Source organism: Homo sapiens, chromosome Y, assembly GCF_000001405.40.
Source record: "Homo sapiens chromosome Y, GRCh38.p14 Primary Assembly".
In the NCBI taxonomy this organism is placed as follows: domain Eukaryota; kingdom Metazoa; phylum Chordata; class Mammalia; order Primates; family Hominidae; genus Homo; species Homo sapiens.
The window spans coordinates 22,041,094-22,058,555 of NC_000024.10; the positions used below are offsets into that span (position 1 = coordinate 22,041,094).

At 34.2% G+C, this 17,462-nt stretch overlaps 2 pseudogenes; both read right to left on the minus strand.

Moving 5' to 3' along the window:
- On the minus strand, positions 7,459-8,322 carry HSFY5P (heat shock transcription factor Y-linked 5, pseudogene; annotated as a pseudogene).
- On the minus strand, positions 8,662-17,020 carry USP9YP17 (USP9Y pseudogene 17; annotated as a pseudogene).

A 17,462-nucleotide genomic window follows, 5' to 3' on the forward strand; every position in this document is an offset into this window, starting at 1 on the left:
CCAAAGCAGGGCAAGGCATCACCTCACCCAGGAAGCACAAGGGGTCAGGGAATTCCCTTTCCTAGCCAAGGAAAGCTGTGACAGATGGCACCTGGAAAATCAGGTCACTCTCACCCTAATACTGCACTTTTCCAATGGTCTTAGCAAACAGGACACCAGGAGATTAGATCCCACACATGGCTCGGAGGATCCCATGCCCACAGAGCCTCACTCATTGCTAGCACAGCAGTTGGAGATCCACCTGCAAGGTGGCAGTGAGGCTGGGGGAATGGCACCCACCATTGCTGAGGCCTGAGTAGGTAAACAGAGTGGACAGGAAGCTCGAACTGGGTGGAGCCCACCCCAGCTCAAGGAGGCCTGCCTGCTTCTACAGACTCCACATCTGGAGGCAGGACATAGCCAAACAAAAGGCAGCAGAAACCTCTGCAGACTTAAATGTCCCTGTCAGACAGCTTTCAAGAGAGTAGTGGTTCTCCCAGCACGAAGTTTCAGATCTGACAACAGACAGAGTGCCTCCTCACATGGGTCCCTGACCCCCAAGTAACCTAACTGGGAGGCATGCCCCAGTAGGGGCAGACTGACACCTCACATGGCTGGGTACCTATCTGAGATGAAACTTTCAGAGGAATGATCAGGCAGCAACATTTGCTGTTCAGCAATATTCACTGTTTTGCAGCCTCCACTGCTGATAACCAGGCAAACAGGGTCTGGAGTGGACCTCCAGCAAACTCCAGCAGATGTGCAGCTGAGGGTCCTGATTGTTAGAAGGAAAACTAACAAACAGAAAGGACATCCATACCAAAACCCCATTTGTACATCACCATCATGAAAGACCAAAGGAAGATGAAACCACAAAGATGGGGAAAAAACAGAGCAGAAAACCTGAAAATTCTAAAAATCAGGGCACCTCTCACTCGCCAAAGGAACACAACTCCTCAGCAGCAATGGAACAAAGCTGGACGGACAATGACTTTGATGAGTTGAGAGAAGAAGGCTTCAGACAATCAAACTTCTCCAAGATAAAGGAGGAAGTTCAAACCCATCACAAAGAAGCTAAAAACCTTGAAAAAAGTTTAGCTGAATGGCTAATTAGAATAACCAATGTGCAGAAGTCCTTAAATAACCTGAGGGAGGTGAAAACCATGGCACGAGAACTACATGATGAATGCACAAGCTTCATTAACTAATCCAATCAACTGGAAGAAAGGGTATCAGAGATTGAAGATAAAATGAATGAAATGAAGTGAGAAGAGAAGTTTAGAGAAAAAATGAATAAAAAGAAATGAACAAAGCCTCCAAGAAATATGGGACTATGTGAAAAGACCAAATCTACGTCTGATTGGTGTACCTGAAAGTGAAGTTGAGAATGGAACCAAATTGGAAAACACTCTGCAGGATATTATCCAGGAGAACTTCCCCAACCTAGAAAGGCAGGCCAACTTTCAAATTCATTAAATACAGATAATGCAACAAAGATATTCCTCGAGAAGAGCAACTGCAAGACACAAAATTTTCAGATTCACCAAAGTTGAAAAGAAGGAAAAAATGTTAAGGGCAGCCAGGGAGAAAGGTCAGGTTACCCACAAAGGGAAGCCCGTTAGACTAACAGTGGATCTCTCAAAAGAAACTCTGAAAGCCAGAAGAGAGTGGGGGCCAATATTTAACATTCATAAAGAAAATATTTTTCAACCCAGAATTTCATATCGAGCCACACTAAGCTTCATAAGTGAAGAAGAAAAAAAAATCCTTTACAGACAAGCAAATGCTGAGAGATTTTGTCACAACAAGGCCTGCCCTACAAGAGCTCCTGAAGGAAGCACTAAACATGGAAAGGAAAAACTGGTACCAGCCACTGTAAAAATGTGCCAAATTTTAAAGACCATCAATGCTAGGAAGAAACTGCATCAACTAACGAGCAAAATAACCAGCTAATATCATAATGACAGGATCAAATTCACACATAACACCATTAACCTTAAATATAAATGGGCCAAATGCTCCAATTAAAAGATGCAGACTGGCAAATCGGATAAAGAATCAAGATCCATCAGTGTGCTGTATTCAGGAAACCCATCTCACATGCAGAGACACACATAGGCTTAAAATAAAGGGATGGAGGAAGATCTACCAAGCAAATGGAAAACAAAAAGAGGCAGCGGTTGCAATCCTAGTCTCTGATAAAACAGGCTTTAAACCAACAAGAACAAAAGAGAAAAAGAAGGCCATTACATAATGGTAAAGGGATAAATACAACAAAAAGAGCTAACTATCCTAAATATATATGCGCCCAATACAGGAGCACCCAAATTCATAAAGCAAGTTCTTAGAGACCTACAAAGAGACTTGGACTCCCACAGAATAATAATGGGAGGCTTTAACACCCCACTGTCTACATTAGACAGATCAATGAGACAGAAAGTTAACAATGACATCCAGGAATTGAACTCAGCTCTGCACCAAGCAGACCTAATAGACATCTACAGAACTCTCCACCACAAATCAACATAATATACATTCCTCTCAGCACCACATCTCACTTATTCCAAAATTGACCACATAGTTGGAAGTAAAGCACTCCTCAGCAAATGTAGAAGAACAGACATTATAGCAAACTGTCTGTCAGACCATGGTGCAATCAAACTAGAACTTAGGATTAAGAAACTCACTCAAAACCACTCAACTACATGGAAACTGAACATCATGCTCCTGAATGACTACTTGGGTACATAACAAAATGAAGGCACAAATAAAGATGTTCTTTGAAACCAATGAGAAGAAAGACACAACATACCAGAATCTCTGCGACACATTTAAAACAGTGTGTAGAGGGAAATTTATAGCATTAAATGCCCACAAGAGAAAGCAGGAAAGATCCAAAATTCACACCCTAACATCACAATTAAAAGAACTAGAGAAGCATGAGGAAACATATTCAAAAGCTAGCAGAAGGCAAGAAATAACTAATATCAGAGCAGAACTGAAGGAAATTGAGACCCAAAAACCCTTCAAAAAATCAATGAATCCAGGAGCTGGTTTTTGGAAAAGATCAACAAAATTGATAGACCGCTAGCAAGACTAACAAAGAAGAAAAGAGAGAAGAATCAAATAAACGCAATAAAGAATGATAAAGGGGATATCACCACTGATCTCACAGAAGTACAAACTACCATCATAGAATACTATAAACACCTCTATGCAAATAAACTAGAAAATCTAGAAGAAATGGATAAATTCCTTGACACACACATCCTCCCAAGACTAAACCAGGAAGAAGTTGAACCTCTGAATAGACCAATAGCAGGCTCTGAAATTGAGGCAATAATTAGTAGCTTACCAACCAAAAAAAGTGCAGGACCAGATGGATTCACGACTGAATTCTACAAGAGGTACAAGGAGGAGCTGGTACCATTCCATCTGAAACTGTTCCAATCCACAGAAAAAGAGGGAATCCTCTCTAGCTCATTGTATGCAGCCAGCATCATCCTGATACCAAAGCCTGGCAAAGACACACAAAAAAAGAGAATTTTAGACCAATATCCCACATGAACATTGATGCAAAAATCCTCAATAAAATACTGACAAACTAAATCCAGAAACACATCAAAAACCTTATCCACCATGACCAAGTTGGTTTCATCCCTGGGATGCAAGGCTGGTTCAATGTACACAAATCAATAAATGCAATCCAGCATATAAACAGAAAAAAAGACAAAAACCACACGATTGTCTCAATAGATGCAGAAAAGGCCTTTGACAAAATTCAACAGCCTTCATGCTAAAAACTCTCAATAAATTAGGTGTTCATGGGATGTATCTCAAAATAATAAGAGCTATGTATGACAAACCCACTGCCAATATCATACTGAATGGGCAAAAACTGGAAGCATTCCCTTTGAAAACTGGCACAAGACAGGGATGCCCTCTCTCACCACTCCTATTCAACATACTGTTGGAAGTTCTGACCAGGGCTATCAGGCAAGAGAAAGAAAGAAATGGTATTCAATTAGGAAAAGCTGAAGTCAAATTGTCCCTGTTCGCAAATGACATGATTGCATATCTAGAAAACCCCATCATCTCAGCCCAAAATCTCCTTAAGCTGATAAGCAACTTCAGCAAAGTCTCAGGATACAAAGTCAATGTGCAAAAATCACAAGCATTCTTATACACCAATAACAGACAAACAGAGAGCCACATCATGAGTGAACTCCCATGTAAAATTGCTTCAAAGAGAATAAAATACCTAGGAATCCAACTTACAAGGGATGTGAAGGACCTCTTCAAGGAGAACTACAAACCACTGCTCAATAAAATAAAAGAGGAAACATACAAATGGAAGTTTATTCCATGCTCATGGATAGGAAGAATCAATATTGTGAAAATGGCCATACTGCTCAAGGTAATTTATAGATTCAATGCCATCCCCATCAAGCTACCAATGACTTTCTTCACAGCATTGGAAAAAACTACTTTAAAGTTCATATGGAACCAAAAAAGAGCTCTCATTGCCAAGTCAATCCTAAGCTAAAAGAACAAAGATGGAGGCATTGCGCTATCTGACTTCAAACTATACTACAAAGTTACAGTAATCAAAACAGCATGGTACTGGTACCAAAACAGAGATATAGACCAATGGAGCAGAACAGAGCCCTCAGAAATGATACGACATATCTACAACCATCTGATCTTTGCCAAACCTGACAAAAACAAGAAATGAGGAAAGGATTCCCTATTTAATAAATGGTGCTGGGAAAACTGGATAGCCATATGCAGAAAGCTGAAACTGGATCCCTTCCTTACACCTTACACAAAAATTAATTCAAGATGTATTAAAGACTTAAATGTTAGACCTAAAACCATAAAAACCCTGGAAGAAATCCTAGGCAATACCATTAGGATGTAGGCATGGGCAAGGACTTCATGTCAAAAACAAAAAAAGCATGGCAACAAAAGCCAAAATACAAATGAGACCTAATTAAACTAAAGAGCTTCTGCAGACCAAAAAAAAAAAAAAAAAAAAAAGTACCAGCAAAGCGAATAGGCAACCTACACGACTGGCAGAACATTTTTGCAATCTACTCATCTGACAAAGGGCTAATACCCAAAATCTACAAAGAACTCAAACAAATTTACAAGGAAAAAACAAACAACCCCATCCAAAAGTGGGTGAAGGATATGAACAGAGACTTTCTCAAAACAAGACATTTATGCAGCCAACAGACACATGAAAAAATGCTTGTCATCACTAGCCATCATAGAAATGCAAATCAAAACCACAATGAGGTACCATCTCACACCAGCTATAATAGCAATCATGAAAAAGTCAGGAAACAACTGGTGCTCAAGAGAATGTGGAGAAATAGGAACAGTTTTACATAATTGATGGGAGTGTAAACTACTTCAACCATGTGGAAGACAGTGTGGTGATTCCTCAAGGATCTAGAACTAGAAATATCATTTCACCCAGCCATCCCATTACTGGGTATATACCCAAAGGATTATAAATCATGCTTTTATAAAAACACACACACGTGTGTATTCACTGTGGCACTGTTCACAATAGCAAAGACTTCGAACCAACCCAAAATGTCCATGAATGACAGACTGGATTAAGAAAATGTGGCACATACACACCATGGAATACTATGCAGCTATAAAAAGTGATGAGTTCATGTCCTTTGTAGGGACATGGATGAAGCTGGAAATCATCCTTCTCAGGGAACTATTGCAAGGACAAAAAAACCAAACACCTCATGTTGTCACTCATAGGTGGGAATTGAACATTGAGAACACTTGGACACAGGAAAGGGAACATCACACACTGGGGCCTGTTGTGGAATGGTGGGGGAGGTATAGCATTAGGAGATATATCTAATGTAAATGACGAGTTAACAGGTGCAACACACCAACATGGCACATGTATACATATGTAACAGAACTGAACGTTGTGCACATGTAACCTAGAACTTAAAGTATAATAAAATATACAAATATATATAAAAATATATACAATATATTTAGAAAAATATGCAAATAAATATACAAAAAATATACAAATATAAAAATATACAAATATAAAAAAATAAAATATACAAATATGTAAATAATATATACACATTATACAAATATATAATATATGAATAATATAATATATAAATATATAAATATTTTTTACAATATATATAAATATAAATATATAAATAAATTTTTTACAAAAATGTAAAATATAACAAACATATACAAATAAATATACAAAAATATACAAACAAAAATATACAAATATAAAACATATACAAATATAAAAAATACATATACAAAAAATATACAAATATATACATATATAAAAAAACATACCTATACCGAAAAAGAAAGCGTGATAGTTGAAATGATAACCAGGGATGTTAATCTCAGTAAGTCAAAATTATTGCACCTCTAGTGAACAAAACTCTGACCTACCCTTTTATGAAAAGTTGTGGTGAGTAATGAAGAATAACAAGTAATACCACAACACCAATAATGTTCATTTTTGACAATGAAAATAGATTTTATGGTTGTATGTCCACAGTCAACATTCACAAATTCACATACATATGTGTGTGTGTGTGTGTGTGTGTGTGTGTGTATATAAATACAAAAATGTACATATATGTATTAGGTACTGTGTGACATCAGTGCTGGGTGTCCAGGAGACACAGACAGACAGACAAGAAAACTAATGTGACAGATAAGAAGCACCTTCTGGAAGGAGTGATGTCTGTGTTGTAGGAGTCTTAAGTAGGCAAATCGGGAGAGAGCATTTATCTCCAAGAAAAAATGGGGCCCAAGTTACAAGATAGGAAAGGGCATGGCTGAAAGTGGAGTTGTCCAGATGTTGCTCCAACTGGACTGTGGTGAAACAGAAAGACATGAAGCTGACAGGAAAATAAATATTAGGTCTGGAAGGGATTTGTTCAGCCATGCTGAGGATATGGATTCAGAATCTAAAAGGTATCAAATCCTGACAAAAGCCATGAAATCTGACTTTGTATAGATGAAACCAATGTGATGAACATCTGTATTAGAGGAGGGGTTTGGTGGCTCAACCTTGTAATTCCAGCACTTTTAGGGGCCAGGGTGGGTGGATCACGTGAGGCCAGGAATTCAAGACCATCCTGGCCAATTTGGTGAAACTCCGTTTCTACGAAAAATACAAAAATTAGCCCAGCTTGGTGGGCATATATAATTTTACCTACTCAAAAGTTTGAGGCACAGTAATTACTTGAACCCAGAGGCTGAGGTTGCAGTGAGCTGAAATAATGCCACTGCTCTCCAGCCAGGGTAACACAGTAAGACTATCTCAAAGAAAAAAAGAAGCAAGGAAATGTGCATTAGAAAACATGAAACATGGACTCTAACAGGAGGTAATGAAAGGCACAAACATGTTGGAATCCTTTAATGTAAGATCAAAAGTGTGTACTGTTAATGTTAGCTCCTGATCTAAAATGCTTCTTGTTGAAATCTTCATTGAATAAAGTAGGTATAAGTGAAGCATTTTTAACACCAATTCTTCTTTTCACCCTTACTAAATGCTGGGGACAGCCACGTTTGAAATTTGGATTATAATAAAACTTTAACTAAAACCAAAGAAAAAGGTAATTCAGTGCCATTTTAAACCGGGAGACAAGTGACAATAACAAACATAACACATAAAATATCAGATTTCTCTTTCGTCACACAAACTTAATGACATCAAATAATTCATGAACATTATTTGCTATTTTTAAGAAAGTGCTTGTTGGGAAAAAAAAGCACTCAAATTGTTAAGCCCTCAGGTGAAAACATGTTATATATTAATAGCAACATTACATTAAGTGGCTTTGATACATTTATTTGGAGTTCACTGGTAAGATTCAAAGTTTTAGCAACATTTCTGAAAACTCTGAAAGGTTGATGCTCAAGCTGAACTCAATAATTTCAAAAAAATAAATAATTTCTACCTTAATATTTTATATAATTTTCAACATCTGGTCTTGTTGCATGTATTAACATATTTACTGATGTTCAAAGTAAAATTACATACATACTTTACATAGAGTGGTAACTGAAATATGTTAAATGCTTTGCTTAAGGCATCGGATTCTTTCTCTTCTGCCAGAAAGGTGGCTAGAAAGGCAGATCTTTGAAAATTCTGTCGCAACGGAGACCTACTGGAGGCTTCTGAACCAGTTAACTAATCTTTGGGAGAAACATCTTGAATTTCTGAAGAAACATGTGCCATCTCAAATAAACATTTCTTTAGCTACTCTTCCAGCCTGCATGGTTTTCAAGACTGTGGCTTCAAATGCTGCTTCAGAAGGCCTAGGCAGGTAAAGAAATCTAGACCATCACGATGTTCCCAAGGTGAGTAGCAATGACATCACAAGAGGATTTTGGTCTCCTAGCAACCAACAAAAAATCTGACCAAAAGTGCTTCCTTCCCAGTCTGAGAAATGTATCCATTGAAAATCAAATATACACTGCTAACTTACACAGTGTCAGCTGCAAAAATCTCATCCCTTCAGCATGATTTAAATAAACAAGAAAATAATGTCCTCAATCCCAGAAATAAATGTAATTTTCTCCCTGACACACACACTTACTAGATTGGTGACAGGAGCATAGGTAATTGCAAAACAAAACAAAAAAAGGAAATTATTTAAATAGCAAGTGCTTAATTGTGTTACCATACCATAAACAGAGAATGTGTCCCCATGTACAAATGTTCTCATTTCCCCAGCAAATATCAAAAACAATGTAATGATAATTTTAAAGCTTATAATCTTTTTAATTTATTTATAAAAAGGTAAGTAAATAATCATTAACATCATCATGGTAATTATGCCATAACTAACTTAAGCAATACTTTCTTATCAAAGCTTAACATATTTATATATAGCAATCCTTTGGTATCTGTAGGGGATTGGCTCCAGAAACATCTCAAATACCAAAATGTATGTCTGCTCAAGCTTCTGCTTTATAATGATGCAGTAGGTAAGTATAATGCACACCCATCCTCCTGTGTAGTTTACTTTATCTCTACATAAATAATTAATAAAATGTAAATGCTATGTAGACAGATATTTTACTCTAATGACTTTAAATTTGTTACATTTTACCATAGTATTGATTTTTTTGTTTTTGTTTTCAAACACTTTAATATATGTCTAGGGAAATCTGTTTGCAGAACCTTTATATGCAAAAGGTCTCTTATTTGTTGCAAATCAGAAAACATTACTGACACAGAGAGTGATGGCTATGTGGTTCCATATAGCCACTACTATCTGTGTTACTTCTCTAATATTTTCTTTTATGCAATTAAGCAGAATTTGGTGTGAGCAAACTGAAGATACAAAGTAAGCAATAATGATAGCAGTTAATACTTATAGTGCTTAAAGTCAAGGTAATACACTAAGAGCTGCACACATATTAATAAATTTAATCCTCACTGTCCTTTCTTTTTGTGTGACAGTTTCACTCTCTTCACCTAGAATGCAGTGCAATGGCAGGATCTAGGCTCACTGCAACCTAGACCTCCCAGATTCAAGCGATTCACCTGTCCCAGCCTCCCCAGTAGCTAGTATTACAGGCATCTGCCGCCACACCTGGCTAATTTTCATATTTTTAGTAGAGATGGGGCTTCACCCTGTTGGCAAAGCTGGACTCTCTGTCTTATAAAAAGGTAAAACCTATACATAATACTTTAAACGGTGTGAATTAAGAGTGGCAGGCAGGGTGAAAAGAAATTGTTCCAAGTCTCAGAGGTGAAAATAGCAGGCAGTATGCTGTTAAAAATAAACCACAATTTAAATGGCAGCTAAGTGCAAGATAATGCAGACAGCTTGGAGGTGAGATGTTATGAAGGTCAAGAAAGACATACCTGTCATTTAATATATAATATCTTCAAAGACATTTTACCATTATATATCCTAGTCAAATTGCGAAGAAATAAAATTAGCTGGTTAGGCCTAAAGAAAGAGACCTGTTTGTGAAACTACAAGTGGTCGTTAAAATCTGTTGGAAGCCCATAAAATGAAGGAACATTTTTGCTTCAAGAGATTTTTATAGTAGAAAAAGAATAATGCTTTCTTCTACCAACTCTTCAAGATTCAATCATTAAAATGCAATTTATTTTAGAGTAGAGATGAAAACAATCTGGGAGATTATTTTACATCTCAAATTATTCACCTAATGAGAATAACTTTTTTTTTCCTAGTCAGTCATTCGATTTTGTCAATAACATTCTCCTTTAAGCCAGTTATCATCTTGACTACCTCTCTGATACCGTGCAAATACTAAAGAGAAAGCAGAAGTTAATTTTGTGGATGAGCACAAACACTTCTAATTGTCTTCTGGTTGTTTTCAATGAGATAATTATTTTTTTCAAAACTGAACAAAACAAACTTTTTATCACATTTTACAATGATGTGCATTTGCACATTCAATTTGATACACTGTTCCAAAGAATGAAGAAGATTTTGAAGACTGTTCATGTCCACATTTAAAGTTGTAAAAGATTTCTCACATTTGTATCAAAAGATATTATTTAAAATACAAATTATAAAATGTATTTTTTACTTTTATTTGTGAAGACAGGTTCTTTGTCACTGAAGCTAAAATGCAGTGGCACAATTCCAGTTCACTGTGGTCTCAAACTCTTTGGCTTGAGCTGGGGTTTCCCTAATCAGTATCCATCTGCGTCTTGTTATGAACTGGGGCTACACATCAACAGGTGAGTGGTGGCCAAGCATGGAAACCTTATCTCTATTTAAAACACTAAGTATGGTTCACAGTACTGCCTGAGATCCGCTTTCTGAAGATCAGTGGCAGCATCCGATTTTTATAGAAGCGAGGGAACTACTATTTACTGCACTTGAGAGAAATTTACGTTTTGCACTCTTTATAAGAATCAAAACAACTGATCACCTGCAACAGTCTCCCATCACCCACAGATAGAACCATCTAGCTACAGGAAAATAAGTTTAGGGCTCCCACTGAGTCTACATTATGGTGAGATGTATAATTATTTTGTTAAATATTATAATGTAATAATAAGACAAATAAAGCGCAAAATCAATGGAGGGTACTCAAATCTTCCAAAAACTGTCTCCACAACCCCAGTTGATGAAAATCTTGTCTTTCACAAAAACAGGCCCTGGTGCCAAGTGATAGCAGATGATCACATATAGATGCATGCACACATAAATTATTGAGTGAAAGTTTTGAAGACAGAAGCTCAAAGAGTTATAATAATTTGAGAGAACAAGAACAGAAATGTTGACTAGATTGCAGAAAAAGAAATGTTTTGAGTAGAGAAAGCTAATGAAAATAAATTGTTGACACAAGAAAAAATGAGAGTGAGGGACGTGTGCAGATAAAGAATTGAAATATGTAAATTAGAATTATATATGCAAATCATATTTATAACCTAGGTTTACAGTTTAGCTATGAAATTTGGAAACTTTTACTGAAAGCTATAATGGGCAGTCAGTTAATTACACGTGCACTAAAGACTTTTAAAGGAAATCTAAGTGATATGCTAATACATAGAAAGGGAACTACTGTGAGTAAAACAGAAGACAGCCCAGAAATCAGAAGATCCCTTTTTCTTCCTACCTCTGAGCTATCTAAGAAATACCTTCTTGAAAGAACACTAAACTCTTTCTCTGTGTGTGTGTGTGGTTTTGTGTGCATGTGTGGTTGTGTGTGTTTGTGTGGCACAGCTTCTCTTCATTACTCAGTCTGCAATGCAGCAACACGGTTACAGCTCAGGTGATGTTTTCGCCTTAGTGTCCCGGGTAGATGGGACTAGTGCAGACAATTACACTCAGCTAATTTATTGCATCTTAGTAGAGATGGGATATCACCATGTTGCACAGGCTGGTTTTGAACTCCTGAAATCAAGTAATCTGACTCCCTTGGCTTCCCAAAGTGCTAAGGCTATCCATGTGAGTGACAGGGCCTGGCCTAGTTGAGATTTTTCAAATCTAAACACGGACCAAGTGTTATTGGTCACTTTTGTAAGAGGCTCAAAATCTATGAGATTACATTCAGGCTTGCAAAAATTATGTGTATATTACATGAAGTTATAGATTATATATTTATATAAAAGTATATCATATATATTTTATCTTGCAGGACTAGGAAGCAGTACTTTTTTGTCAGTGATTAAAAGGTTTATTTGATAATAAAAATGCTTATTTGATGATGAGTAATATGGATTTCTGAGGTGATTATTATACATAATCTCAGGCATAAACATTACTCTAGAAACTAAAAGACATCATTGATGTGCTAGTCTAAATTGAACAGTATAATGAGGAAAGTGTAATCAAATATCAAAGTTAGTCAAATAAATGGTATTTTATCTTTCCAAGTAGCTGATACTACAGGCTCATATATCCACACCTGAATAATTTTTGTTTTGTTTTCATAGAGGCAGGGTTTTCTACGTTGCCCAAGGTTGTAAAATAATTTGTATTATGTGTGATAACAGTACCCTGGTCATATATTTTTGAAAAAACTTTAGGGATGTATTAAAATATCTGTACACTTAAAAAATGTACTTGACATTTGCTTCATTTGAGAACTGTTAAATCAAGGAGATGACTTCATTTTAATATTTTGATTATATAGATTACAAATCTTCCTATAAGAAGTCAATTATACCTTAAGAGATGAAAGAATACAGTGGCCTGTCTTTGCTGTGACAATTTTAACCTTTTTCTATTAGTATGACAATAATAAAAATGATCAAGAAATGCAGCTAGGATATTACTATTTTTTAAATATTACATGCCAAATAAACTATGTATTTTAAAGATCTATTTAAAAAATTTAATGTACAGACGATTTTATCAAAATTAAATTGATAAATCACCCATAATTTACCTGAAGTGTTTCCAAAAAATTTTCAGTACATAGTATTTTAGTCAGAAGGCAACTAAATGTAAAAGAGGCTTGAAGGTGTCTTTGGACACGAATATTGTTCTCTTTCCTATCTTCTATCTTGTTTAATGTGGGCTCATCTTTAAATTTATGACGTTAACTACGTACATCATTTTGGAGATGAGCATTGCTATAGAAACCAAAATACATTGGTGATGCACTAATCTAACGTTAAAATATAATAAAAGAAGTTGAAATAAATACCAAAACTTAGTTAATAAGATGATATGCATGTTTTAATATTATTTTCAAAGAACTTATTGTTTTTAATGTTTAGGATTAGTGATTATTTCACAGGGGGACCATCAGAAAGAGATCACAGAAAAATTATCCTTAGCAATAATAAAACAATAGCATATATTGCAGGTAATAAAATATACTACAGTGTTGTTGAGTAGACAGATTAAAAACAAATCAGTGCTCTGCCATATGAGGAATAAGATACTTTGTTCTCCTAGAATTCAGTGTCTTCTTGTGATTTTAATGCATTTTTACAGATTTCATGATATAATTTATGTGATGTATTTGGAATTATTACTGCACAATAAGTACAGCTATTAAGAGTAGTTGTGGAAGGAATGAGAGCACACACAGGAACGCCAAAGGTCATAATTTCCTTATAGCTACAGAGCAAAATACAGTTGTTTTACACATATCTCTCATGTTTCTGTATGTTTTTCTCTACATCTGAGGTTTTTGATACAATAATGAACAATATCCAGTTTGTGCCCTGATGAAGTTCATTGTATAGAAAAAGCAGCTAGGCAGACATGCAGCCACAGTAAAGCGCTAAGACATCATAAAGCACAAGCAATGAAGCACAAAGGTGGGGATTTAATTTGAATTTTATATTCTGTCTGCCTCATTCACTTCTTGCCAGTGTAATTAACCATCTCTATCTGTTTTAAATTCAAAACCCTAGGGGTAAAACTGATTACAGTACAAGGAACTAAATTTTACTTTTTGTTGTTGTTGTTGTTTATTAGTGACTATTAACCAAGTGTTAGCGAACGTCCCATATGGACATTCTACTAAAAGAAATGCTACCAAGGTTTTAATGCCTGCGTGGTGTGATCTATCAGATCTAGAAAGGGAGAGGCAAGTGTGTTTTTAATCTCCATAAATGATAAATGCTGAGATGCTATTTGAAAACCAAACTATTTCTGATCACTGAGGAAGAGAAATGTAGAAATTTAAGATTTATTACAATTAAAATATTCTAATTTCTTTATTTAGTTTCTATCAATACCTATGCAAAAAGTAAAGGAACTACTTGAGTACAAACATTTCCAAAATTCAAGTTTTTGGTATTCACTTATTTAATAGCTATATCTTAAATATGTAATCTGCCACTAAAACCTAATATTTTTGCTGCTTTATTTTCAACCAGATACTTTTTATTTTCAACCAGATGATTTATACCCTTAGCAGCCTGATTGTAATAGTTACGTCATGTTGCTAACAGGTCCATGTAGCATTATCTGAAAATCAATTTTTTTCCTTAGCAGAAAAAACCCTAATTTGAGAAAAATATTTAGAGAATCCTAAAAATAAGCACAACTTATATAACACAGATAGAACAGTAAAAAAGCCTACTTTATAAAACAAGATGAAAATATAATTATTAAAAACAAAAATTTCTCATTATCCAAAGAATGAATTGCATTTACCATGTTGTGCAAATGTGATTATATCAACCATGCTTTGAAAACAACAAAAAACATTGATAAATATTATTAACTAAAATTTCAACTTACTAGATAGTGATCACAATAAATATGCCAGTCATAGTATCTCAGATATTATAGCCATATCATCAAAATGCAGTCCTGATAAAACCTCATGAAACTATACTAATTTGAGGAAGAACAACAGTATCTACTATGAGAATATTCAAAAAATGATAATTAAAACTTACTTCACAATTTTGTTTCTCATCTTTGAACGATCATCGAGTTCATCACTAACTGTGTTTTCAATTGTAGAAATACTGTTTCTGATGACTGGGATTATGTATAGTTGCTGGATCACAGAATTATTAACCACAGACTTCTTAAGTCCACATTTTTAATGACATTGCTTCTGTAACAATTTTCTTAGAAAAGGTCATGCATGATGGTATAATATTAAATTCTAATGTGTTACACAGACTTAGCATTAATCATTACAAATTTACATATTAAAAAACTTTTGCACTTAAATGTATTCAATACATTTTAATCAGATCTTTACATAAATAGAACTTTAGAGTTTTCTCAGTTTTAATTGAGCACTACATTTACATTATTGTTCTGACTCATAAAAACTATAATCTTCACATAAATATCACTTTCTTCCTCAGCTAATAGTGATAATTGTTTTATCTATGTTCATAGTTTTATTGTGAGAAGAAGTCAATTAGAAGTTGTCTTTAAAATACCTGTGAAAATTGTAAATGCTACTTTTTGTAAAACTGAATATGACTTACACATAAATCCAACTTAGAGATGGATTACATAAATTAGAGCACATTGAACTGCAAGTTATGTAGCTACAAAACAGAATTAAATAGATCTTGTTGTATTGACAGGCGTGTGACTAAGTACAAAACAAGGTTAACCATATTGTATATAAACTCATTACTTAAAAAGTCAGATCATTCTGTGTCCTGTGGGATCTATGTAGAGAGAAGAGTTTCCTTTTTGAAAACACTTTTTTTTGTTAATTTGTTTAACTATTGTATTAGAATAGTAAATATATATTTTCAAAAGATTTTTTTACTTTGATCAGAAATATGATCATTTCTGTAAGAAAAAAAAATAGCTAATTGTATGAAGATGTGCATATATCTCAAAGAAAATCTCTGTACCAGAAATATAATATTGGTGGCAAGATAATAGTTTTTAGTGCATGTCCTCTTGTATATTTGAAAATATATATTAATCACAAGAAAACATTGGCTAGTTTAACAACAATACTGTTTATTTTAAAAAATCTCTTTTGAAAATACAAATTTACTATTCCAATACAATAGTTAAACAAATTAACAAAAAAAAAAAAGTGTTTTCAAAAAGGAAACTCTTCTCTCTACATAGATCCCACAGGACACAGAATGATCTGACCTTTTAAGTAATGAGTTTAGCTAGAAACTCCTACAATGTACTAAAAAATATACTCACACAGAGAAAAACATAAATATAATTTCACATTTTCCAATTAAATATCTGTACAGAATGCTGTTGTTAATTATGTACTTAACCCTCAGATTTCTCTTGAAATCAACTAAATTTCATGTTATTACTTGTTAATTTACTTACATTGGCTCCCAGTCTGAGTTTCAGTTTTGTGTAAGATTTCAACATTGCTACCTATTTTGCTTAACTAATATGGACATTTAAAAGTAATAAAATGCACTCAAATGTTCTCTTCTCACATTATGATTTTTAAAACAATACCTCTCTTATAATATAACTAAAATACCATGAAACAACTTCAAAGTTTGGGTTATGAAAATCTTTTTAATGCATACAGTTTAAATATAAAGTTTTTGTAGCATTAAATTTGGCTTCTTGTTATTCTAAAGGGTTAGTATTTTTTTTTCACATACAACTAAATAAAACCCACTGTGGTAAATTACCAAAACCAGCTATAGGAGAGAAGTTAAGAAATACATGCTTATTTTGAAAAATAATGTTCTCTTACTTACATGGTTTTAATTATATACCTGATGGCTACAAAATGGTAAACTAGTTAATCAAAAAGAAAAAACCCATAAGTTAATTTTTGCAAATGAAATAATAGAATTTTAAACTAAAGTGTGATTAATGAACAAAAACTGCTTTATAATTTAAAATATTCACTAGTTATTGCTTTGTCTTTGTAATATGTTTCAGTCAAACAGTCTAGCATCATTGTGAGATTTTTTACACAGCCAATAGCTGGTGCTGCAAGCAGCTCAAAACCAGGGTTGATGGTAGTGGGTCAGTTACAGACAAGAACAGCCTTCTCTGCTAGCAGTTATTCACTTCTTATGTATTGCAGGTGAACTTTAGATGAAGGCAAGATGAAAACGAATTAATTTCTAGTAAGTTAGAAGAAGTAATCACATATTATTAGTAGAAAAGACAGGTTATAAAAACTTTATTTTCAAAGAAAATACCTTTAAGTCTATTTCACATAATTAAACATCTCAATGTATCTTGAAACAATTTTGAATTTTCTTACAAAAGAAAATCCTGAGGAAAAAAAACTGAGTGCAATCAACTAATGTAACTAATTATCCAAATTAGATTTTTACAGAAATTTCTAAAACTTCAGAACTTTACACCAAAGCAAAATAACATTCTAAATATACCTACTATTTTAGTTACATATTAATAAAAATAAATTAATTTCCAAGTATAATACATTAAAATTATATTATTTTTCTTGAATTATGAGACATATAAAGAAACTCATCAAAAATATGATGTAGAAAATAAGGTTTTGCAAGATGGACTTTTTTATTCAATTAGAAATTCAAT